This window comes from Homo sapiens, chromosome 9 (genome assembly GCF_000001405.40).
Source record: "Homo sapiens chromosome 9, GRCh38.p14 Primary Assembly".
In the NCBI taxonomy this organism is placed as follows: domain Eukaryota; kingdom Metazoa; phylum Chordata; class Mammalia; order Primates; family Hominidae; genus Homo; species Homo sapiens.
The window spans coordinates 123105064-123129930 of NC_000009.12; the positions used below are offsets into that span (position 1 = coordinate 123105064).

A 24867-nucleotide genomic window follows, 5' to 3' on the forward strand; every position below is an offset into this window, starting at 1 on the left:
AAGATGACGACGTTGATGCCTCTGTGTTTGTTTATGATGAACATTGCCCCTCTGAGAAATAACATGCTGTAGTAGCAGGGATGAGGGACACTTGGTGTTTTTGAGGCTTAAGGAAGCCTTACAGGAGGTAAGGGTCAAATTAGACCTTCAAAGGCAAAAGCATCTCACCAGGCAGAGATGGAAGAGGGAATTCCAGGGCCAAAGTGTGCATGTGCAGGGGAAACAGCTGAAGAGTAGAAAGGCAGGCTGAGCACCTGGGGGCCGGCTGTGGTCTGCTAAAAGCTTTAAAAGCAGTGACATGGAGTTGTCATCATCTTTTCAGAGCCTCTTTCTTCCTATCGCCTGTCCTCCACATCCCTGCACCATACAGATGAGGCTCCCAGGCCTTCTGCTGCCCCTCTTCACCACCTCAACCCCCTTCTCCATAGCAGGAAGAAGAACGAAGCTTCCCTAATCTTACGGTTCCCCCTTCCCGCTTGACCTGCCCTCTAGGACCCCACCTATGCCTAGCCTTTAAATGGATGCAGGCTGAACAGACCATAGCTTCATGCCTGCAAGAAGGATGACTGGATGGATGGCTGGATGGACAGACAGACAGATAAATGTAGATTAGATAGATAAAGTAGATGATAGATAAAATAATAGATAGATGAGATAGATAAGATGGATAGATAGATGATAGATCGATAGATATAGATAGATAGATAGATAGATAGATAGATAGATAGGGATAGAGATACAGATTAGACAGAGAGCAGGTGGGCCCCTGCCCTGTCTGTCTGTCTTTCTCCACTGCAACGAAACTAGGAAAGTTCCTAGCATAGGGCTCAGCCCCTGGCAGGTACTCTTGCAGAAGCCAGGACTGTGGCTCCAGAGCACAGCTAGGTCCCTTTGATGCTCACAGGCTGCAGGCTGGAGGACATGTTTCTGGGATCCACATTCTGGATCAGCCTGCTCCATGCTTTTCCTGTCCCATGGCTTCTGTGTTCAGTAGGGCAGGGACTCAGCAGAATCCTCATCCCTGTAGCTGCGTACTGGCCCAAGAAAAGGAGTCCATATACTATTTAGTCTTGGCACACAGGCCTCAAACGACTCGGATGAGGGTTCTGCTTTTGGGGAGGTCCCCTGGTTATGTTGAGGCTGAGACTGAGAATAATGTGACACCGTATGGTAAGTCGTGTACAGGTGCATGGGATCCTGTGGGAAGGTTATGTATAAATGCAGGAGGGACAAAGTGGTAGTGACAGTTGTGACTGACAACTAAGGGACTTGCTAGCTAGGCAGAGGAGCAGCAAGAGGACAGCGGCATTTAGGTGGGAAGAATAGTAGTAAAGTCGGCTTGAGGTGGGGTGATGAGAGATGAAACTGGGTAATTAGGTTGCGGCCATGCCAGGGAGTTTGGAGCTGATAAGGAGTCACTGGAGAGTTTTAACCCATTTATGCCAGAGGTTACAAATTTTTTTGTGTGAAAAATCAGACCTTGGCGATGACCTTAAGCAGTAGGATATAAATAACTCCCACAAGCTTAGCGTTCCAATAATGGAACACTAGGCATAAATGGGTTAAGCTAACTTGCACTTTGAGTGGTTCCCTGCTGATCCTTTAGGAAGAAAAATCGGGAGGAGAAGAAATTAAGGGTGTGAGCAGAGGTGACAGATGATAGAATAAGGAATGGAGAACGGAGTCAGTGAAATTTAGGGAGAGTGACGACACACCAGGAAGATGATAAATTTAGCTGTCGGGGTATAGATTTGAAATAGTCTGGGACTTGCAGGTTGGAGATGCTGGCAATCTACAGCTGCTCAGTTGTTGGTTTGGCATCTCTAGCGCAGGGTTTCTGGACCTCATTGTTGATGATTTGGCTGATTGATACTTTTGTGCTGTAGGGGGTCTGTCCTGTGTAATCCCAGCAGCATCCCTGGCCTCTATCCACTGGATGCTAGTGCATTACCCCACGCCAAGTGGCACAACCAAAAACGTCTTCAGGTATTGCCGAATATTCCCTGAGGGGGCCAAATCACCCTTGATTGATTGAGAACCATTGCTCGAGCAAGCTGAAGCTAGGAGCCTGGAGAGACTGCCTAGATAATGTACAGCTTAAACAAGGGCTAGGAGCCGCCATTCAAGGAGCAGGAGAGAAGACATGGAGAATGGAGCATAGACGGCCAGAGAGGAGCAAGAGCTACCTTGGGGTGGGGATGAGGGCAGGACTGGAAAAGCTTCATTGGATTTGGGAGCTGGAAGGTTGTTAGGGCAGTGGCCACTACAGTTGAGATGATGGGAGGGCAGGAGGCAGAGACAAGCAAGTATAGATTTTAAGAAGCCTGGCTGTGAGGGAAGTGGGCAAGCAAGGCCAGTGGTCAGAGGGGACTGTGGCAGGAAGAGCAGTTGTGCTGGGCCACTCAGACTGTGGTTCCAACCTTGGGCACCTGTTGTCTCCTGCTCACGAGGTCGGCAAGCATGCAGCACAGGCTGAGTGGACCTTCTTTGGCAGGCCCTGCTGCAAACCAAGCTGATTTCCAGGGCCTTGATAATTCTCAGTGGGGAGGCAGCGGCTCAGACCGAATGGCAGGAGCTATCAGCCCCAAAGTGTCTGCACCTCTTCTGAATTCCAAGTCAAGTCCCAGGGGCAGGGGCTGAGTAGTGAGGGGGGTGAAGAAGAGAGCCACCGGCTACCCGAATAAGCCCAGAACACAACTCCCATGTTTGAGCTGACCCATCAGTTGTGAAAACCAGAGCCCATGCAGAGGGGAGCGCAATGGGTGACATGGGCCCCTTGTGGCCTTGGAGAGTCACTTCACCGCTCAGAGACATGCCTGATTCTGACATTGGGATTTAAATCCTCTTCTAAGATTCATTTGGGGGGTGATGAAAGAACAGGAACGCTGGAGCAGGCAGATATGAGGACTGGAGCCGCCCAGAATGGGCACTGAGGCACTCCCAGAACAACAGACATGAGTGCTGAGTTCTCTGCCCTCCACATTTGATTGATTGATTGATAGGTGAAGAGAGATGGGCTCAGAGAGACGGCTGGGATGTTGACTCGTACTTCTGTCAGTAACCAGCAGGGTGGCTGCTTAAAGATGACCGTGTGGAAGCAGGTAGGTGTAAACCGTCACAGCATTGTACTGCAAGCAACACACACAGAAACTCAGGGTTCAAGGCCAGGCCATACCCTTGGACGTACATTTCACTTAACCTTCCTGAGTTCTGATCTGTGCAGTGGGTCTGGTGCCTGGCTCGTCAGGGCTGCTGGGTTCTCCTGTGACGCCCTTGGCTCTTTTCCTGTATTCTTCTCCCTCCAGTCATCAGAACACCCCTGAGTTCAGTGATGTTATTCCCAAATTTGAAAGTGAAGGTGAAAAGTCTGCCTGTGACCACACCATCGGGGAGTTAGTTTTCCTACCACATACCACCACCTTCACCTTCTCTTCCAGGGCCCAAGAGCAAGAAAGACAATGCTCCCTCCCTCCCCCTCTCCCAGTTCCACCTCAACAACCTGTCTCCTGTGCAGCTGAGGCCTGTGGCAATTGTGAACAAGAAAGCCTAGCCGTCCCTCAATCTCAGAAAGGCCAACCTGGGAATGAGGATGGGAACAGCAGAGAGCTGGCCCGGGCGGCTCTTCTTTCTTTCAGTCAATTCTTGCGTCGTCGTAGATCCAGCCTGATGATGTATAGGGAGAAGGCGGGGCCCTGAGTTCTAAAGTGAGGCAAACACAGCCGGCGCCATTGCCCACACAACTCTCCACTTACCTGGAGGCAGCAGCAGCAGCAGCAGCCCCTGGCCCGATTCCCCACCAGGACACTTCCCTGGGCTACCGGACCTTCTTCATCCTCGTCCTTCCAAGTGGACTGGGACTACATTGTGGTCTTGAGCTCTCAGTTACTAGGGCAGCTCAACTGCAGAAGCCTTGCAGAAAAGCAGGCAGCAGGAAGAAGAGCCTTAGCTTTGGGTTCCAATTGCTGCCGCCCTCTAGAAGCTCGACACCATTGGGCAGGGTCCTTTAACCCTGAGCCTCGGTTTCCGATCTGTATTGTCTGTCTGGGTATTACTGACCCCGCGAACAGGTGTGACGATTAAGAGGTCAGCACTCACTCAACATGACATCACTTACCACTCACTGTGCCAGGGTGCCAGGTTCATGTTTCATGTTGAGGAAACTTCACACCACAGAGAGGCAGGGTTTTAAGGACCATAACGGGATCATGAATTAGGCCCTGGCCCCACCCAAATCACTGTCCATTATCAGGAGCCATCCACCCCCCTTCAAACATCCTCGGCCCCTCCATCCCTTTGCATGAAGGGAAGAACCTGTAACATGTACTGAACTAGAGCCTTAAGGGCCAGGAAAAGGGAGCCTGCACTTGAACCTTTCACCAAAGCTGTATCCTTCATTTTATCAGTGGGTCTTGCACAGAACAATCCATTACTGTGTGTGACAGAAGCATTTGTTTGTTTTTATTTATCCAAATGGGGAGAATGCAACATGTCAGGGCATTACAGACAAACTGCAGCAGCCAGACAAGAGGGTCAGTCTATGGCAGAGTCCAACATACTCAGTGCGAAGGAGCCACAGTGCGGGTGCTGCCTGGAGGACTTGTGGCAGCAGGGTCCCTTTGGATGAAGGCCAGGTATCTCTGGGCGAGGCACTGATGACCATCCACATGTGCAGGCTGCTGCTTCAGTCACGCTGAAGGTTTAAAGTTCAGAGTCCTACATGTAATAATTGCCTCAGAGGGGAAGGGCAGTCCATGGTGGTCACGGTTTCCAGTGTTTTTAAACATAATACACAAAGTTATTGCCAAGGATTTTGCACTGCAAATTATACTATTTACACTTGCGTATTCAGAAAAACACAGTAAATAGATACATGATAGATATTTTAAATAGATTTCTAAAAACCAACTTGGTCTTCAGTAGACCCGAGTGAGCTACAGCCAGGAGTCCCATGCCATGTGTGTAACCGTGCGGTAGGGAAAGGTTTCTATCCACGACTACGCTCAGCCTCCTCCTGCCTCCCCCACCCTTGGGCCTGACGAAGGGCTAAGGCTGAGCAGGCCTACCTTAGTCCTTAGTGTGAGGGCTTCAGGTCTAGACTGGCTGCACCTCCCACCTTCCCAGACAGAGTTCTGCTTGGAGCCGCTGAGAAGCAAGTCCTACAGGCTCCACTCCTGCAGGACCACTACACGGCGGGTAAACCAGGACACACAGGCATGGGGCTGCAGGGCTAACGGTATGATGAACCTGGCCCTAGGCCAGCCCCTTCCCCAGCACCCCCTGCCAAAGTACCCTTGGGAACAGGCCCATCAGCCTCACTGTTCCTGGAAGTACGATTGCCCTAATTTATGGTTACCTCAGGAAACCTTCTTTTGAAGAAGTGGCTGGGACCAACCAACCACTTAGACCAAAGGCTCAGCACAACAGGCCAGACAGATGGGTCCAGGATGAAAGGCCTGAGTCCAAGGATGCTTTGGGGAAAACGGGATAAACACTGCTAGGAGCTAAAAAGTATATGGTGTCTGCCCAAGGAAAGGACAACAGTAGGGAGTTCCCACGTGGACCAGCTTTCATTTTGCCTCCATAAGCCCTGGTATGCTGGAAAGGACGTCCACCTGGAGGCTGGAGACAGCTCCTCAGAGAGCCAGAGCTACCCTTGGTTCCTGGGAGATGGAGAGAGCGAGGCCCTCTGGTCGGAGGCCTACAATTTGGCTCCCCAGTAACATTTCTAAAAATGAGCCCTCCTCCCTCGGAAAGGTAGTAAGTAGTAGCAAAGCATCTCCCACAGCCATGGTAGGTCCCATCCCTGAGAAGCTGCCACATGAAGTGAGCTAAGGGAAAAGCAGTGCTCAGTACCCCATCTAAGAAATGGGGGTGCGCAGTGAACAGAACCTGCTTGTGCAAGGCCGGCCTGACCATGAAAAGTGATCGGGGGTAAGTAGAGGGATGCGTCTAATGGCAGCGGCCTCTGGCCCGCTGTCGGAATAGAAGAGGTATTTTTTGCAACCAGGGCTTGCCTGGCTACTTCCAAATCAAACCTCATGCACCAGCTGCCATCACTACCTTGGGGGTCAGGGCTGCAGCCTGAGGGAGCCAGTGAAGTGATATCCACACACAAGGAGGCTTGGTAAGTGACATGGAAGTGCCTCGGAAATGCGTGTGTCTGGATCGAGTGTCTTGCCACGGACCCACCACACCAAAATCCCTAAAGGGTGGAGAGCACGAGATACCCAGAACAGAGGAAAGAGGCTGGAAACCTAAGACACGACTTGTAAATTACAGGTGGAGACGGAACTTCTCACCACCTCCCTAGCTATCTAAAACTCCTACTCCTTGATCCATTTCCATGAACAAGGAAAAGAAAAAGAGTCTGACTCGCAAAAGCGGCAGAAATATTTAGGTTAGAGTCAAGCAACTTTCTGACCATCTTGGTTCCCTAAGCAGGAAAACGGGACAGATGGCAAAGCACCTGTGCCTGTAGGCAGGGGCAGGGCTGGCCTGAGCAAGGCTCTTGTCTGTAAGTAACTCCACTGCCTGACAGACAAGAGCCTTCCTATGAAGCTGGAGCCACAGCACGTGACTTGCTGTCACAGGAAAGGCCACACCTGGCACTGCAGCCAGGGACAGGCTGCATTCTCTTTACCCAGTGTCCATCTGTGCCGGCTCCAGTTTGTCAGTTTCCCTTCCATAAACCCAGAAACTTCACTAGACAATGCAAGAAGTGTTCCTTCTTAGAGCTGTACCATAAGAGCCTGAGAGCTACTCCATGTCCATAAGAGAGAAGACCAGGCAGCAAAATCCGAGAGGCACTTCTGTACCAGAGGGAGCCCGACAAGTCTAAAGACAGCAGCCACCCAGGGGCAACTCTTCCTTCTGTATCCCTGACCTGATTATCAGAGATTAGCAAAACACAACTTCACCGAGAGGAAGCAGCACCCAGTTTCTGAAGTTTGCAGTGGCTTCCTGCCTCTCCAGGGCCTGCCAGGCTGCTCAGAGCACAGCACACCTCCCTCCCGCCTTTCCCCACACCTGGCCCGACTGTGCTGGGGCAGCAACGTAGCCCTCGCCTCCTGACTCAGTCCCGGAAGGCCAGAGACAAGGCTGGGCCCCGTGAAAGGGAGTCACAGTGCAGCGCTGCCGGCCTGTGGCTGGTCCCGCCTCGTCAGCATCCTGGGACAGCCCTGTGTGCAGCTGGCCACCACCTCCCAGCTCAGGCAGAGGGGCAAGTGCCTCCTCTTCTCCGAGCTGCATGTGATCCTCGCCTGCCCCGCGGGGCTGCTGGGGCTTCGCTGAATCAGCGCCTGTGGAGGCGCTTCTATCAGGCCATCTTTCTCCAGCCCTAGCCGCCCCTTCGCAGCGGACACTGTGCTCCTATCAACGCACGGCAGCGCCAGCTATTCCCACCTTCTGTTCACGTCAGACTGGCAGCAGCTCACGTCCCTGGCACCTCTCCGATGCTCTGAACGGCAGCTCCCTTCAACGTGCCTAGAAACCCCTCTGAGAGGAAAGACCATGCTCAGCAGAAAGCGCTACAAACACCCCAACTACACTGAGCATTCCTCAATGCAGCCACCACGTCTGATTCACCTCAGTCCCCTACGCCTGACGTCGGGCCCGGCCCAGAGCAGTCCACCCCCAGGGGTAGTTGCTTCCACCTCCCTTAGTAGCTGGCAGCCTCTGGAGACGAGAGGCCAGCACCTCTGCTTCTCTGAGGCCTGCTGAACACGGGCCTAGGGCATGTACAAAGGAAGCAATCTGCTCCATAGAGCGTTCCCGCCATGTGACTTGATTCTGAAGCAAGGGGCAGTCAGTCCGTCCCCGCCCCTTTACCTTCATATTCTGAGGCCCCAAGCCGAACTTAGATTGGAGACAGAATGTTTCATTTATCCTGCCCTCGTACGTGAATCTTTAGGATAGCAGGAAAGAAAACGCCTGAAGAAGGAAGATTCTGTAAAGCTCTGTCATGTCAAAATAAAGGTGGGGTGCTCACTGACTATAAGCCAATGGTCAGAAAACCTGTCCAACTCTCTGGGCCTCTCTTCCCCACTCTAATACCAAAAGTACCTTGACCAGGAAGTCCAGACTAAACGGAAAGGCGTAACTTACAACCACAGACATGGTCCTCCATAGCCAGTGACATTTCTAATAAGCATTTGTGATCACATGACCCTCCTGAGCACAGCTGTCCAGTGGCTCCCTACAGCCCAGAGAATCCAGTCCACACCCCTGAGCCTGGCCCTCCTGGTCCTTTACGAGCAGACCTCATGCGCCTGTGTGACTATGCAGGCCTCCTCATTGTTTGACACAATCTCATCCGTTATCTGGTCCTGCTTCCCTTCCTGGAGAACTGCAGCCTCCTCGTCTAAACCCGACTCCGGAGCTGCCTGCCTTCAGGGCTTTCCTGATTCACCCTCAGCCCTTCTCTTTGAGATTCTATCACCTGGGACTTCCCTGAGCCCTGTTCTGTATGATGCTCTTTAGCCACCTGCTCTCCTCTTCCAATGTCCCACGTGTCACTCAAAACCTAAGTTCCATATGGGCAGGAACTACATCGTCCTGTGCATTGAGCCAGTGCTCACACGGAGGAGATGCTCAGGAAGCCTTTGTGGGGAGGTGGATGGATCCAGGCAGTGGATGGGAAGGAAGTTTCCAGTCATGATTAAGCCAAAGGGTAAGTCATCTCTATAGTCTAAGGGGTTGGTGAAATACAGCCAAGTTTGGCAAAATACTCCCTACTTTGCAGGGGTTGGCAAACTACAGCCCTGTGTATTTGTAAGTGAAGCTTCATCAGAACACAGCCATGCTATCTATTTACGCACTGTCTCTGGCTGCTTTTGTGCTACAGTGGCAGAGCTGAGCAGTTGTGGCAGAGACCACATGGTCCATAAAGCCTGAAATGCTATCTGGCCCTTTACAGAAAGGATTTGTGGACACAGGGCTAAGGCAGCGCTTCCCATATATTTTCACATTTCACCTCTTTAGAGGTGAGATTTGTGTAGCCTGTTGATTAACAGTGAAGGCTGCTTGCAGCTAAGAGACACCTGGCCTTGGAGCTCTGGCCACCCAAAGGCTGACAGGATCCGTGTCCACAGCTGCCACCTGAGCCACAGTCCCCAGCAGAGCTGTAGGAAACAGGTGCAGAAACCCATGCTGGCCTTCAGCTCTCCCCGTCCATTTCAAAGCAAAAGTGGCAGCACTGGGACAGACACAAAACTGACACCCAAAACCAATCCTCCGGTCACCTCACAAGTTCATGGTCCTTTCCGTCCTTCAAGAACTTGGGAAAGAATGTCCACGTCTTCCCATGGGCTACAGACTGTGTTCCACAGATGCTGAATCCAACAAGCTCCAACCCTTGCTTAGGTTAAAAATGAACACAAATGGATTAACTTTTTGCCAAGCAAAAGGCCTCAGCATGAACAACCACCCGGTACCTGTGACTCCTGGCTGGAGAGCCCAGCCCGGCGGAAACTCAGAAAGGGTGAAGATGCTGATAGGTCACAAGCCCCTCCCCACTGCCAATGGAGATGCCAGAGTGCTCCAGCACAATGGAGTGTGGCCCACCAAAGCCCCATTTCCTAGCCCGGTGGAGATGGCCCTCGCTCCATTCTACCTCCTCTGTACCCTGTCAGTATCTTCCTCCATTCCCCTGCCTTCCCCCGTCCTGGTCAGAAACACCATTGTTCCCTCTATTGCCCACTGAGCAGTGGTCCAGGAGAAGTACTCCAGCAGGTCCCCCGCCCCCGGATGGGTGCTATTGTTCCTTGGCCCAGGGTTGGGGGCCATCATCTTCCCGTCCCTACCCAATCCGGCAGAGGAGCCTGGCCTGTGAGGAGATGCCATTCCTGCCTCTCCATCCCTCTGCTGCTGCGCTCCATCAGCCTCCCTCACGCCTCGCCTGGCCAATGGCAACAGCCTCTTGCTCATCAGCCTTGCCTCCTGACTCTGGTCCTTGGCTATCCAACTGTCCCAATCGACCCTCTGGAACTCACTATTGTGGACAATGGTCATCATTGAAGGACACACCACCCAGGGCCTTTTAAGAAGTGACTGCAGACTGTGTGTCCCACCTGCCACTTGACTCTGCTCATCCTCTCGGGTCCCACAGCAAGGCCCTTCACACTCCCCAAGTGGGCACACTCTCTCTGTGCATGCATGCCAGGCCCGCCTCTGACTCCCCTCCTGGGGATCCCGTCTGGCTCAGTGGGAAGCCTATCGCTCTTGGTAAATTACTCAGTAAGCACTTCTCTCCTGAGGCCTGGCTCCTCTCCTGCCCTCGGCGGGAGACCTGGGAACGGGCCTGCCAGCGCCCAGCCCAGGGCTGGCAAGGAGGATCCCTAGCAGGGAGGGGGAGACCCACTGAAGCCTTTCTCCCTGCACAGAGGAGGACTCTCATTCTGTTCAAATCCTCTGCACCTCTTTCTTCCCCTCCCTGTACTCTCCATCTGGGTCAATGATTTCACCTTCTACTCAGTTGTCTAAGCTGCAGATTCTGACATTTTCTCCAACTGCTCCTTCTCCCCCATCACAGAGCCTGGTAAGAAGCAGTAGGTGACAGTGAATGGTTTTTCTCAATAAATCTACGTGCCCAAGAAGGGAGACATGGTCTTGGCAGCATCACCAGTCAACATCAGAGTTCGTCCAAACTGACATTCCACAGCATTTCCTCTTTGCCGTCCACACAACCGGCTTCTTGCTTGAACATGCTGGTTACAGGGAGCTCATGTCGCACCTCAGCTGCTCTCTCAAGGCTGCGTCTGTCATCGCGGGAGGTGTATTTTAGCTCAAATTGCCCCACTGGCTTCCCATAATTGTCTTTCACCCTTTGGAACCACATACAACAAATAAATATAATCCCTTAAAAATACCTGGCAGGAGTGCCCACGTTCTCTCCAGGTCTCCTCTTCACCAGCCTTAACCTTCTGGTCCTTCCATCTCATTTCAAGGTGCTTTCAGCTTTCCTGAGTTCCCCAGGTGCCAATTTCCATAGGTTTTTTACCTCCCAGATGATGGCTACCATATTCCTTTAACGTAGCCTCTGCAGGAATGAGGGATTTTTAGAAAGCTGAGACTTCCGAGAAGTCTCATGATGGAAGAATCCAAGGGGATCCCAACACCAGATTGCTCTGGAAAATGTGTTACTGTGACGGTGATCCCATGGGTTAGAGCACATGTTTGAAGGCCGAGCCAGGAACGGAGGATGTGGCCAAAAACCAAAGTGTGGATGAGGCGGAACATAAAACACATACTTCCAACAGCACATCCCCTGTCCTCCTTCCCACCCCTGAGGAGCTCTCCAAGTAGCAATTACTGAATTTGCACTTTATTATAGGGTTCAGTTACAGTATAAAATGATGGTCTGTAGAAATTAACCCCAACTGTGTAGCTGGCAAAAAAGAAAACAAAACAAAAAAACAGGCTGCCTGGCCCAGGGCTGACCAGTTGGTCACCTTGCCCAGTAGCACACTAACAAAGGAACAGAAAAAGAACGAGCCCAGAAAGTCTGGATTTTAGGAGGCTAAGGAAGGATCAGGGAGATGTGGGTTGGTTTTTGCTTGGTTTCAAGGCGCACAGGGGATAGCCCAGAAGCCTACAGGAAAGGTGAGCCGAACACATCACAGAGAGAGAAGCCACTGCTGCCAAGTGGGCTTGGAAGACAGAACGGACATTGGTGCCTACTAGCGACGCAAACCACCTGCACACAGCATAGCCTCAGACGGGGTGAGCGCCGCCACTCACCGCACTATAATTTGGGGCAAGTCACCTTATCTAAGCATCTATTTCCTCATCTGTAAAAGGAGAAAATTTCTAATTCCAGTTGTGGTGAAATTCAAAACTAATTCCTCAGAAAGGGCTGCTGTTACCTCTAAAAACAGTCTTAAGAAATGTTATTTCTTCTGGTGGTTAAAAACTCATTAGGGGCCACAATGCTTTGCCACAAATAAGCAGTGTGGTTTGGAGAGATCTCTGGGCTCTACTCTCCCTGTCTGCAAGGTGGGAACAACGATCTATGCACTGCTGCTTCTCCAAGGGCCACCAGTACAGCAAGTCATGAAATGGCAAACGGGAAAGGGCCTGAGAGAGGACTGTGTTCTATGAATGCCAGGCGCTCATTCTCCCTGACACAGTCATGCTCTAGAACACGACAGCCTGGGATTCAAAGGTTCCTTTTTCCTGCTCCCCTCCAGGATTACAGCAGGGTGCACAGAAACATTGCCAAGTGCCCAGAAAGAGGATGACTTGGGGTGGATGAGGAATACTTTGTCCTGAAAAGGATCCCGCAGCCATCCCCGCACCCACCCACGCCTGAGCAGAGACCCAGCTGTCATTCATTAGCCCAGGAGCTGGTAAAGTGGTTACAGCAGCAGAAGAATCCAACACGCTCAACAGGGTGGTTCACAGGCAGCAATTTAGAGACCCCAAAGCCATCCAAGCAGGGCTTACCATACACGGGTCCAACTTGGAGGGAAGACAGCAAACTCCAGGCTGGCAGTCTGCCCTGAGGCCTACTCCAAGGGAAACTCCTGGCAATGACCACTGACCTCTGCAATCTGCCACCACCCATCTCTACTGAGTACTCGTCCAGGGACACCCCCTTGCACTTACACCTCAGACCTGGGCTGCTGCCCCTCTGTGCTCCTCTTCCTTGTACCCAATGAGCCAAAGCCTCACCAGCCTGCCTTCAGAGTCTGGCTTAAATTGTTGAAGACATCCTCATGACCTATCTCAGGCCAGGCAGAGAACATGCACTCGGAAAATATAAGCTAAGTGAAAACACATACCTCAGATTTCACTGAAATTCAAAGAAAAACAAGCTTTAGATAAAAATGCTTCCTCTGTGGATACAGATGCAATGCAGCCCTTCAGTCTGTCCTTCCAGTATGTTAAATCGTTCTTCACAACCAATTTAAATGAAAAGAGCCCTATTTTAGGCCAGGTTATCTGATCTGGAGTCACCTCAAGTCAGAGGGCCTAGCTACCAGCAGAGCCCATCCTGTCGGCCGCAGCCTTTTAATCCATAGCAGGATGGAATAGAAAAAGGCTTTAGAACAGAACTAGGTTCCATTAATGGTTCTAGCACTTAACCTGGAGCATCAGTTTCTTTTGTAAACTAAGGATACTACTATTGCCAGAAAGGTAGCTGGAGAATTCAGAAGAATGTCCAAGTGCCTGGCACACAAGATACAAATGTTGGCATCTCTCCTTCCCCTTCCCTTCCTACTCCTTCAGTCCACTGCTGCTCCAAATGACCTAAACTGAGGGCTGCTGTTCACCTCATTACTTGGGGCATTTAGCAGACACCTGCATGCAGACACCTTTTGTCCAGTGCTGAAACTGCCTGGGCAAACAGTGGCTATCTTCACTCTGCCCACCAGCAGGGTGGCACAGTTCATCTGCAGAAATGGCAAAGTTCTGCCAAGAGAGACCAAGACCCTCCTCAGAAGGAGTAAGTAATTAGAATGTTGACAACTGATCAGTCAAGGCAAAAAAGTCCTCCCTCAATGCTGGCTGAACAAGGCAAAGACTCCACCAAACAGCCTCCCCTGGGGGGAATGTACTAACTTTTGCAGGACATTAGCTAAACAAGTATTTCTTAGATTTAAGAAAAACCTCCTGACTACAAGCCAAATCTTATTTGCCTCCTTAAAGGTAACACTCAGTCCTTGTCTACGTAACGCAGTTTTTATAAACTTGGAGCATCTGAGGGCTCCAATCTATGTTCCCCACTTAGCTCACCTCTTACCAACAGCCAAGGATGCATCTGACCACCTTTCTGCAGAGGCTCCTGAAGTCTTTGTAGACACACAAAGGAATGGAAGATAAGACGTGCACCCTCTATTTAATCCAAAAGCATCAATTTCATCATGTACCCATTTTCCTCTTATCGAAAAAAAGCAACTTTCCAACTGTGTCCAGACAGTAAATGGATAGACAAAAAGAAAGACGAATAGATGGGCAGATATGTTTTCTCTAAGACTAATAGGCAGAAGGGAGGCCTCATATGGTGTTGAGTGCAGATTTTTCCCCCCAAAAGTATCAAAGCAAACTAGAAGAGACAAGCTATAGGAGTGCTTTTCACTGAAGCATCCTAGTCAACAGCCTTTTAAGCACACCAATCAGTTTCCTCCTTTCCTTTCTGTGCTTTAAAGGAACTTGCTTTCTACCTACTAAACACTGGTAAGCCCTGAAGGTTAGATTCCGGAGGCAGTTGTAACCAAACACCTTTTTAAAAAATTATTAATGCACTGGTTGGACACTTGGACTCAGCAGGTAGATATTCTAAGATCAGCCCTTATGAAGTTCTAAGCACCCTTAAATCCCACCCCCCGCCCCCCGCCAAAAAACAAGTATTTACAAACCCTTGGCAGCAGACTGGCTGGTAATTTAACTACTGTAACAGACACATGAGCAACTTCCTTAAGCTTGGATCTGCAGCAACGCCACCACACTAGCTCTCACCAGGTCTTTGGGGTGTGTTTCTTGTCTAACCCCTAGATACCAGGAGTCTTCTCCCAAAGCCTGGCAGCAGCTGACGCCTATCAGCACCAAGGAACCGACACAGCTCCACCCTGAGCAGGCCATGCACCTGCCTCTCCAACACCTGTTGGCAGAGCCTTGCCCTCCTCACGTTCATCCTCACCTCGGCCAACCATGGTAAGAACACTCAACATTCACTGAGTACGTACTCTGCACCAGGTACTGTTCAAAACATATTATGTGTATTAACTCATCTAATTCCTGAGCCCCATGGGAATGTGCTGGAAGGAGAGAAATTCTTTGGCCCAGATTCCCGCATGGTTTCTAGTCTCTATTTCTAGCTGTGCTGTAAAGCTTACATAACCTAATTTGCATTATGGTACTATTTTTAAAAACCTCCAAAGATCGCTGCTTCAAAGCATCAATGGAATCTGTTAGTTCCTACCTAAAATGATAATGTGGGAAAGGATATCTATTCTTACAACCAACTCAACTGGAATTCTTGACTTAAAACAGTCTTTTGGGAAGAGGCTATTAAGAAAGGAAGGGACTCATTCTTATATAAGTACTAGCTCTGTGCTCTGTAAATAAGGGCTAGAGAGAAACACATCAATATTGAAACCCACCTCAGCAGTAGTTTCTTGGCTCTGCTGTTGTTATCCATTTACCACCCATCTCCTTTCCAAGACTCCTAATAACACCGAGAAACCTGTGGTCACTGCACAGCATGGCGTCAGACTGTATAGAGTATGAGTTTGAATACACAGAACCTTTCTCATTCTGGATGATTCAGAGATAGCCCCCACCCTCTCTCAGGAGGCACTGGCATCAGATGAATGGGAATTAGGGGAAGACCATTCACAGAGCAGGTTGTTTTCAGCTTTAACTGCTCTTAATGACCCTGGTGTATAGGGCTCTGGATTGCTTGAAATCTAATTGCGGGCGGGGGGGTGGGGGGGGGGGGGCAGGGGCGGGGAAAGCAGGGGGGATCTCCTTAGTTCTTTCCTCTCTAACTCACTGCTGAAGATTTCCCTCCAGTTATTAATGAAATCTAGGAAACAGGGAAATTATGGTGAATGACTGATTATAAGGGTGAAACTTTCTCATCTGTCATTAAAAAAAATGTGCTCCGTGTTTAAATTAACCACTTTGTCCTTTGTTCTACTATAAAAACTACTTGGAAAGGACCGGAGTATTTGTTATGAATTCATTTCATTACGTTCACTTATTGGACAGAGGTCCATGAACATAAACCAGAGTAGGTTTCAGGCTCTCAAAACTGCCAGGGAAATATTTTAAATGAGTGAATTTCCAAGTGACGCCTATTTTGGTGATGTCAGAGGGCCTACATTATTAAATAGTTTATAATTAAACTAATAACTGAGCTAATATTCTTTTTGCCACAGTTAACTAAGTATCTGGTTCCCAAAGTAGGATATTTGTAATAGGCCCAATTCCAACAACAAGGAGACTGTCAGAATTAAAATGCTTCCACTGGTCACAGCCTCTGTTCACTTGTACCCAGAAGAGGACCTGGTACCTAATAGGCACTGGGCTGTTTCAGCAGGACTGGATCGCACTCAGTACTAGTCAGCTATACCTCATACAACCTTTTATAGATGCCAAAGCCACATTAAATGTACATACAGATTCTGCATGGAAAAAAACAAGAGTTGTTCCAGCAACTTTAAAGTGAGTCATCAAAAGAAACTGCTACTTAGAAACAAATATGAAACATGAAATTCATTTTAATCTACATATATCAAATACAGCCTTAGCACACAACATCTAACACAATTAAATGCATTTATGGGACACACCTAAATGAAGCAAATCTTTATTAAAATGTCTGCCTAACCCTCACATCTTTACATGAACTCCATGATGGTTGAATAAGGTGGGAAATAAATAATCTAGCTACCTAACCTGGAAAAGACAGATGGATTGCTTTAAGTCTATTTGGTCTCTGCAGACTCGATATTCACCACCCGAGTCTTGCTGAAGTTGGTTCTGCAAATAATTAACTTAGCTCAGTCAATTATATACTTTTCCATAGTTACCATAATATTTTGTTTTTGTTTTTTTTTTTTTTCATTTTCTATTGCTTTTTTCTATGGCTTCTTGCTGTTGTTGTATTAGGGCATACAACACAGATCAGAGACTTTCATTTCTCGGAGAAGTTTTTCTCCTTGAGAAATTGGCACTTTGATCCTCAGCTTGTGTAACAGCTTACACATACAGATCCTACCAGCACTATTACCAACCTTGCTGCTTAGGAAATTCCACTGCTTTGGCCAAAAGAGTGCCCTGTCATTAAAATCTTCTTAGATGAACTGTTCCTATCACTGAATTCTTACATTTAAACAGGTATGTGTGTGTAATTTACATACGTGTTATATCCTAAGTTTCTACACACACACACACACACACACACACTTAGTGTAAGTGAAATGTCTGTCTTGAGTAAAAAGCAGTTACAAGGGTATTAAAACAAATGTTGAAAAATAACTATTTTACATTTAGACCATACAATTTTTAAAGGTAATGCGATGACATATGACCTAAGAGATCAAATACATCATATATGATTGTCATATATGCATGTTGTCTTAATTGACTATTTTTCTCTTTAATCAGAAAATAAAAGAGCTTACCTTTGTATACTGAGATCACAGCTTACAGTCACTATATCTCAGCCTATTTTATACAAGTGATATGGCTACGAAGGTCCGAGGAGAACGAGAATAAAGTGAGATAAACGTGCTGAAAACTGCTTAAAAGTATTAACCTGAAATACACAGAGGGTCCAACACCAGTTTTAAAAATACATTAACGAGGTATTCCCAGCTCTTCAATTAATAATGGTGGCTGATTCATGATTTTCAAACATTCACCCAAAATTAAAAAAAAAAAAAAAAAGAAAAGGCCAATACCAGCAAAATCTCTCAGTGGTTTGTTCCCCAGGCTAACAATTTGAGAGAGACTACAAACGACTTCAGAACTATATAAACTCAACTCCTTACTTCACCACCCATGCACTTCATCTAGTCAGCATGAGGTATGTTGGAAATCTACTGGACCAATTACCTTGCACAAGAGATGGGGTACTCCTGCAGCCTGAAGAAACACAAGCTGCAAGCCACATCCCTGGCTAGGGGCCAGTCCCCGTGCAGAGGATATGGCTTCAAGGAGGACCCCTATCTCTGAGAAATTATAGTAACGCTAACTGACGCAGTCAGGAATGTAACTATTTATGTGCTAAAAAGTGTAAAAAACTGTCAGAACATAGCACAGCTCACACGCTAATTTTAAGCTCTACACTGACCTGTAAACTCCCTGACAAGAAACTATGCTAAAAAGGGGTTAAGTACAGATATTGCTAGGTTTCCAAAGGAAAAGTTTTAAAACAGACACCGTGGCTTTGAACAAAGTATTGCTCTTCTTTAAAATGATCAGTCATTGCTTTCAAAAAGAGGGTGTCAGAGTGGAGTGTCTGAAAGCTGGATAGCCTCAGGGTGTCACATTGCTCTTAAGACCAAGACATAGAAATTGCCATTTCAAGCCAGACAACCTGATGGTTCTAGAAGTCAGAGAAGAAATCTTGAGGGCCCAAGTGAATAATAAATGGTGCGACGCTCAGAGGCTGGCAATAGGGGCTGTCAATGAAAAAACCACCTACAGTGGAGAAAAGAGCAGAGAAGCAAAACTTCATGTTAATCTCAGGCAATTTGGTGAAGCCAAGAGCTTCATTTATATTTCTCTGCTCTTTCAGCTGTAAGTGGAATTTTCATTACAAAATGGAAGGGTGGGAAGGGCAACAGGTGGGGGGACACTTAATTCATTACAGAATTTAAACAGTTGAACTTGCATGGTTACCACTTCTAACAAAGGACTGACAGCTCGATTATTTTAAGTAAAGCAGAGAAATGTAAAAGTTTGCAGCAACTGGGCAGGTTTACAACATGGTTAGTAACTTCCAACAAACAACAAAATTAAAAAAAAAAAAAAAAGACTTGGTAGAAACCATTTGAAATGACTGCCATCATGTTGGAAAACAGCACAGCTCCCTTTTCACCATTACAGAGCGCGTGAGTTATGAAGCAGAGTCAGCTACTTCAAAAGAATTTTCTAACGAGAAATATCTAGAGATTCCAACGTGGAATCCAAATTTGATGACCAATTTCAAATAACAATACAGCCGCAGCTGCCAATTAATAGTATTCCAAAGACAATGAGGACTACTGTAAAGATTTAATTAATAAAAACTGGACACTATCAGCCATGCTTTTTCTTCTCAGTGATGGCTCTGTTTCATCCATAGGTCAGCAAAACGCATCAATGAAACATGAAAACTCCCAGCTGAAATGGGCCCTCTTGTTTATGTCTAGCCACTAATGCACAGGATGAGAATGATAAGTTACAGCTATTTCCAGCAAGTGATGAGGTTTTATTAAAGTATCACCCACCACTAATAAAGACAAAAGACCAAGGAGAAGAAACAAACTAATCATTGTGTAATATATATCTGAGAAGTGACACTAACATTTGTTGTACATTGCCCATTTCACCTTTATTTAGTGGTCCCGAAGGAATTTGGTACATACATTTGCCATATTTTGTGAAGCCCATTCTCATGGATGGGCCCTGTCAAGTTCCCAAAAGCAGAACTGAATAGGGAAAATGAAAGCTAATTCATACTAAAAACAGACATTTTTAAGACATGGTGCCTTATAAATATTGACAGGGGACCACACTGCTGCTCCTTCATGGGGGTGAGTACCTTAATGAAACCATTGACCTAGTAACATCATTGGCTTTCCAAACAAGGTGAGAATGCAAGTGGAGGACTTAGGTCTGCACCCTTTACAGAACAGCACAATGTTACCCACTGATCCATTTCCACCAGCATCATCAGGTGTCTTAAAAAGAAATGCTGACCCATGGCTGAAACCTGTCACTTTTCACAGCAGCACTCAACAAGAACTGGGACAATCGAAGAGCAAGTTTTTATGGGGACCCTGTTGCTGCTTTAGATTCTGATGTAATTGAAGAGGAAAGGAGACCCTTCAATGAATCCCAGCAAAATCACTAATCTTCTATCTGCATGAAAAAAGCCAGGGAGTGAACACAATATCTTACAGAGTGAAGAAGGCCACAAGAACAAGAGAGGGTGATTGATTGATTAATTTATTATTTTTAAAAACTTGGAAATTCATAAACTAGGATAATCACATTCTCCTTCCCCATCTCTGGGTAGTGCCATCATTTTAATAAGCAATGCTCAAATAACAGAATGGAACCTTTATCATGGGGATGGCCCTTGTACAACAGGAGTACAAAGGGCTTACAAAGTGAGTAGACTGGCTCAAACTAACAATCACCTTTGCTTTGTTTTAGCACTTTGCTTACAAGTGAATGGGCTTCTAGGGCTAAGTTATTAGTTTTCAATTCCTTGTAATTTGATACCAAAACATATCAAAAATAATAAGCTAAAACAATATTCAAACCCATATTTTATTGGCTTTATTACACACTTCAATATTTACAAAGTTAAAGTTAAATGAAAAGTCTCTATTGTATTAAAAAAAATAACTACAGCCCAAATTAAAGTGCCCTGGGGCAAATACATATCAATCAACTAAGAATCAGTGACTGCATCAGGAACCAGGCAGTACTCTGTGTTACAACAAAGCAGTTTATTTGTGATCAGTGTTTGAGACTCTATACATCCTTCACAAATTTAATTTTACATAATCTGATACGTCTCTTAAAACTTAAACTTTGAACTGCTAGACTTTTATTTCCCTAGAACAGAAGGGCTGGTATAAGTTATTTTCCAGAAATGAGGTACCGTTTTCACAGAACTGGTTTCTTTTTTTTTTTTCAAGTTTTAGAGAACTAAATTTGCATTTGTTAAAATCAAAAAGTAGGAAAGATGTTCTTTACAAATAATTTTGATCAAGTATGTGTTCAAAGAAAGCAGGATAAAAAGGCTTTTTCTCTAACATTCTGTGTTGTACTGTATTGTTGTTCAATAGGAATTAGCTTCTGTCATTTGCTAAAAGAATGAGTAGTGGGGAACAGGATATGTTGGAAATTTCATAACGGGTAACAGAACCATTCTCTTGGGTAAACCTACAGAGAAAAGAAACGGAGAGGACTCCAAATAAGTTTTAATACTCCAATAAAAATTTCAGGTAAAAAAATATCTGACAGTAATTATCATTAACCTTTTCCAGATCAGTCAGTCAACATGTATACCATTTTGCAAGAGGCCCATAAATCGCTCACAGATCTATTTTGAAATTGCTCTTAATATTTTGATAAATAATATTTTCCACTCTCAAAATCAGGATGGCTACATCTAGGAAGCAATTTCATTGAGTGAGCTACCATGAATTCTGAAAATCAAAAGCAATGCTATTGAATCATGTTCTAATCGACTGTAGAAATCCATATTGGTTCTCAATGTGGCATATCACATATTCCAGGAGAAACGGGTTGTCAAGGTTCAAAGCATAGCTTTCCATGCAGACCTCAGCTCCAGCTGGAGCCATGGCCAGGCGTTTACTTAACTTCTTAATGGCTATGGCCAATATTGGCATGGCAAATCTGGAAAGATTAATTACTTTCTGAATTTGTAATTAATACGTTCTTGTGGCCTCACAGACTTCTGCATAGTCGAGCATGATTTGAAATCTGCTCCTCTTCCTATGCTAATATTTAACCTATGGAGAAATCACAAAGCAGCAACAGCAGGTATTCAAGAGCACCAGATGATCAGAGGGAAATTACCCCACATGCAACAGCTTTACAAAGGCCAAAAGACATATTTACCTTACAGCCAAAATAAAGCATCGTTTTAGTAGGTTTGCATCACAGTAACATTTAAAAACCAAATCTTTTATGTGAAAAATGGGGGCATCAAATTTCACCAGCTTTGGAAGTCAGTTATATGGCACGTGGAAGAGAGGAGCTTTCTGATGTGGGGGCTCAGAGGGCACAGGGTGAAAGTATAATGTTAAAGGAGGAAAGGGAGGAACAAGAGAGAAAAAAAGACCAAGGAAAAACATGAATGTAACTTAGAATCTAGATATTAAAGTATTTTCAAAGGAAAAATCGAGCTCTAGCAAACCTTTACTGAAGAATCTGAAACTTACTGTATGTCTAAAAGAAAGACACAGATTTAAATATCTGCCCCAAGCGGCAGATGTTTTGGCACTTATACAAGACATAGTACAGTGAGTCTAGTGAGCCAAAATGTACTTGGATAAATGGACCAGACCTAAGTCACAGAGAGGATGAGATGGTCAGGAGACCCAGAAGCCAGCTGAATAGTTAAAAGCAAATGGCCAAACCCAAACCCAAAGGAACTAGAGAGTTTGAATTTAGAAGGAAACCTGCGTAAGCTTATTATTGCATTAGTCTCCAATTCCTAGTTACCCATACGGCTCAGTTCAAAATATGGGGAAGCCTTGACCACACCCGAGTGTGCCAGAGGATATAAAGGATGTAGCTCCAGGCTCTGCACTTTGCCTAAAAGAAAATTTGCTCCGAAAGTGTGACCCTTGTAGCTTCACATCTTTCTAGGATATAAACTATTTTAATGGGCAAAGTGGTCAAACTATTCACTTTCTACTTATGTCCACAGTTACGAAATCAGATGAAGGTTCAGTTCAGCAGTGTTTTAGGAACACAATTTTCATCCAAACAAAAATGGCAAAGCAGATGCATGAAGAGAAAATGCACAATGCGAAGGTCTGAGGCTCATGTAGAGGACTAATGCCAAAACTGGCAATACAGGAAGGGCCTTTCCCTTCTGTGTGGATGCACACCCAGCCTGGGGCATGCTGACACACACACTCTTGCACACACACACTCTCATGCTCTCTTCTCTGACAACACCCTGCAGATGGCTGATTCTATAACATGTAGCACCTGAGTAGAAAAAAGTGTCTAAGAGCATATCACTGACTCCAAACCTATTGCCTCCATTGCCACATAAACCTCATTCAAAAGTTATCCAAAGGGCCACTGGAGTTCATTTATGCATTTGCTTTTATTTTTTATTTTAGAGGGGAGAAGAGAAACACCTATGATATTCTAGCATGTACTACAGACTTCCTGCAGCGAGCACTTAAGTAAGACTGCTGGTGAAACCCACTATCACTTCCTCTCTAGGGCCAATGATACCCATTTACTTCAACCCCAAAGCAAAGTTATGGAAAAGAATGAAGGCTACAAATTTGAAGTGAGCAGTTCCTATTCTTGACTTAAGTTACCCACAACTCACACGGTTCCAAACCAGAAACTTAAGTGTGGCTTTAAAACTGGTAGGCAGCCAAGCTAGCAACTGAGTATGGCCCTTCAGTAGCCTTTGAATGGAGTATCAGTTGGCTGTAAGAAGAACTACTTAAAATATTTAATTTCAATATGGTCAGAAACAGGCAATTAGAACAAGCAGTCCTTCAATCAGGCAAAGCGGAGAGAAGAGCAACTCCAACCAAACCAAGAACCACAAGGTTGTGGCATTTTCAAAAGGAATTTAAGTTGGGTCACTAGAATGAATAAATCTGAGATCCTCCAATTAATTTACAAAAACCCTAGATAGAAACTGTGCTTTGGATTGCTGTGACAGTCGCTAAGAGGAGATATCAGTAAGATGGTGTACGTACCATAGGCAGGGGCAGCTGTGCTGTAACCATATGGTGTTCCATAGCCTAGTGCAAAGAAGAAGAAGGCAGATCAGTCCAAGACCCAGGGCAATCATCACTGGCCCAATTCACAAGCACCACCTGCTCAGCACCCTGGGCCCGGAGGACTTCTTCCAGATGTTGGATGAATGAGAACCACTGCCAGAATGGTCCCAGTCTAGCCACTCTCTGTGTGCCTGCTTAAGATGTGGGAGCTCCTCACCATGGCCTACAAGGCTCTCCTAGATGTGCCAGACTGTCCTACATCTCTTTCTCACTGCACTCACTGACCCCACACTCTATTAACTATCAGTTCCTTGTCTGGGTTCCCCACTAGAGTAGCATAGACCTGGTCAAACTTATCCGTCGTCGCATCATCTGAACCTAGCAGAATGTATGATATATATAGTAGCCACTCTCTAAATATAATTTGTTGAACAAAAGAATACTTAAAACCACTCAAACTACCAATCTCTCAAAGTTAGCAAACAGAACTTTCCAAGTATCTTCAGAAAGTAGTGAGAGAGCAGGCTGAGGTCTCAATGGCCATTAAAACAGGCACATGAGTCAGGTCGTGAGCCCAAGGGCAAGGTCTATGACTTGCTGATATTTCAATTTCTGGCCCAAGTACAGGGTCTCTCTGTAAATGCTGGTGAATTTGACATCAGCCTCTGGTACCTATGAAAAAGGCTCACATTATTAAGTAAAAGCAAGTACAAAGAAGTTTTTATACCATATTAGTAGGGATTAGAAATATTACCTATATTAACAGAAGCTGCAATCTTTTTACTCTTTTAGTAAAACAGCTTAGATATAGGTAATATGTAGATAAAAATTACTTGGGGCCAGGTGTGGTGGCTCATGCCTGTAATCCCAGCAATTTTGGAGGCTGTGGCAGGAGGACTGCTTGAACCCAGGAGTTAGAGACCAGCCTGGGCAATATAGTGAGACTCCATCTCTACAGAAAAACAAAAAATTAGCTGGGTATGGTGGTGCATGCCTGTAGTCCCAGCTCCTCAGGAGGCTGAGGTGGGAGGATCACTTGAGCCCAGGAGGTCGAGGCTGCAGTGAGCCATGATCACACCACTGCACTCCAGGCTGGGCAACAGAGAGAGATCATGTCTCAATAATAATAATAATAACAACAACTTATTCATTTATAAATGAAAAAAATTTCTAAAGTAGAACAAGGGCACAAAATCACCATGGCACTTTTACACAGTACCCAAAACAAATGGAGCTTTTTCACATTACCACTCCTTTTTTTGTAACCACTTCTGCTATTCAGAATGATTTCACTCCCTCCTTCTCTGGATGACCAACTGCAACTCACCCTTGAGAACAGGATCAATTATCACCTCCCCTACAAAGTCTCCCAGACTTGCTGTTCTCTCTTTTGCCCAACCCATGTTATACTTGCATCATATTGCATTGTGTTTATTCAATTATCTGGTCCTACCCCAGGCAGTCACTGGGGCAGAGGCTAGGTCTTCTCTGAATGCCAAGTTCTAAATCTCCTGTTTGAGACAACGCATTCAAATGTATGCTGAAGAAGTAAACTGCTTTTAGGGACCAACTGAAACAGTTCTGAGGGATGAACAATTTTTACTTTTTAGTCTATAGTTAAGTCATATAACTCAGTCTGAGTGCTCACTAAATCATATTCAAGAGGACACATGTAGCTGAAATAAGCAGTAGG

General features: G+C 46.3%; 1 protein-coding gene, 1 long non-coding RNA gene and 1 other non-coding gene across 13 annotated transcripts in view, besides 1 other annotated feature; all 3 read right to left on the reverse strand.

Moving 5' to 3' along the window:
- Nucleotides 1-4430: 4430 nt before the first annotated feature.
- On the reverse strand, nucleotides 4431-10414 carry MIR600HG (MIR600 host gene). Its single transcript, NR_026677.1, has one exon. It is a non-coding gene; the product is annotated as an MIR600 host gene (long non-coding RNA).
- The window catches only part of STRBP (spermatid perinuclear RNA binding protein), a 159093-nt gene continuing 138656 nt past the window's right edge, over nucleotides 4431-24867 (reverse strand). For 4 of the 11 annotated variants that reach the window (NR_033234.2, NM_001171137.2, NM_018387.5 and 1 more), the window contains 2 exons: nucleotides 23151-23195; nucleotides 16554-20610 (listed from right to left, as the gene is read on the reverse strand). Coding sequence is in view for 7 of the 11 variants with exons in the window: in NM_001171137.2 (NP_001164608.1) it covers nucleotides 20534-20610; nucleotides 23151-23195 (122 nt within the window). In the remaining 4 variants the exon portion in view is untranslated. Of the gene's footprint in view, nucleotides 20611-23150; nucleotides 23196-24867 lie in introns of all 11 variants that reach the window. The other 7 variants (NM_001376106.1, NM_001376107.1, XR_001746347.2 and 4 more) reach the window with 6 other exon arrangements.
- MIR600 (microRNA 600) lies at nucleotides 6483-6580 on the reverse strand. Its single transcript, NR_030331.1, has one exon. It is a non-coding gene; the product is annotated as a microRNA 600 (primary transcript).
- Nucleotides 6896-7045: an enhancer, noted in NCBI's record as "active region_28932". NCBI's record gives its function as "activates an Ori minimal core promoter by ATAC-STARR-seq in GM12878 lymphoblastoid cells {active_cell/tissue: GM12878}" and the evidence as "EXISTENCE:reporter gene assay evidence [ECO:0000049][PMID:35858748]".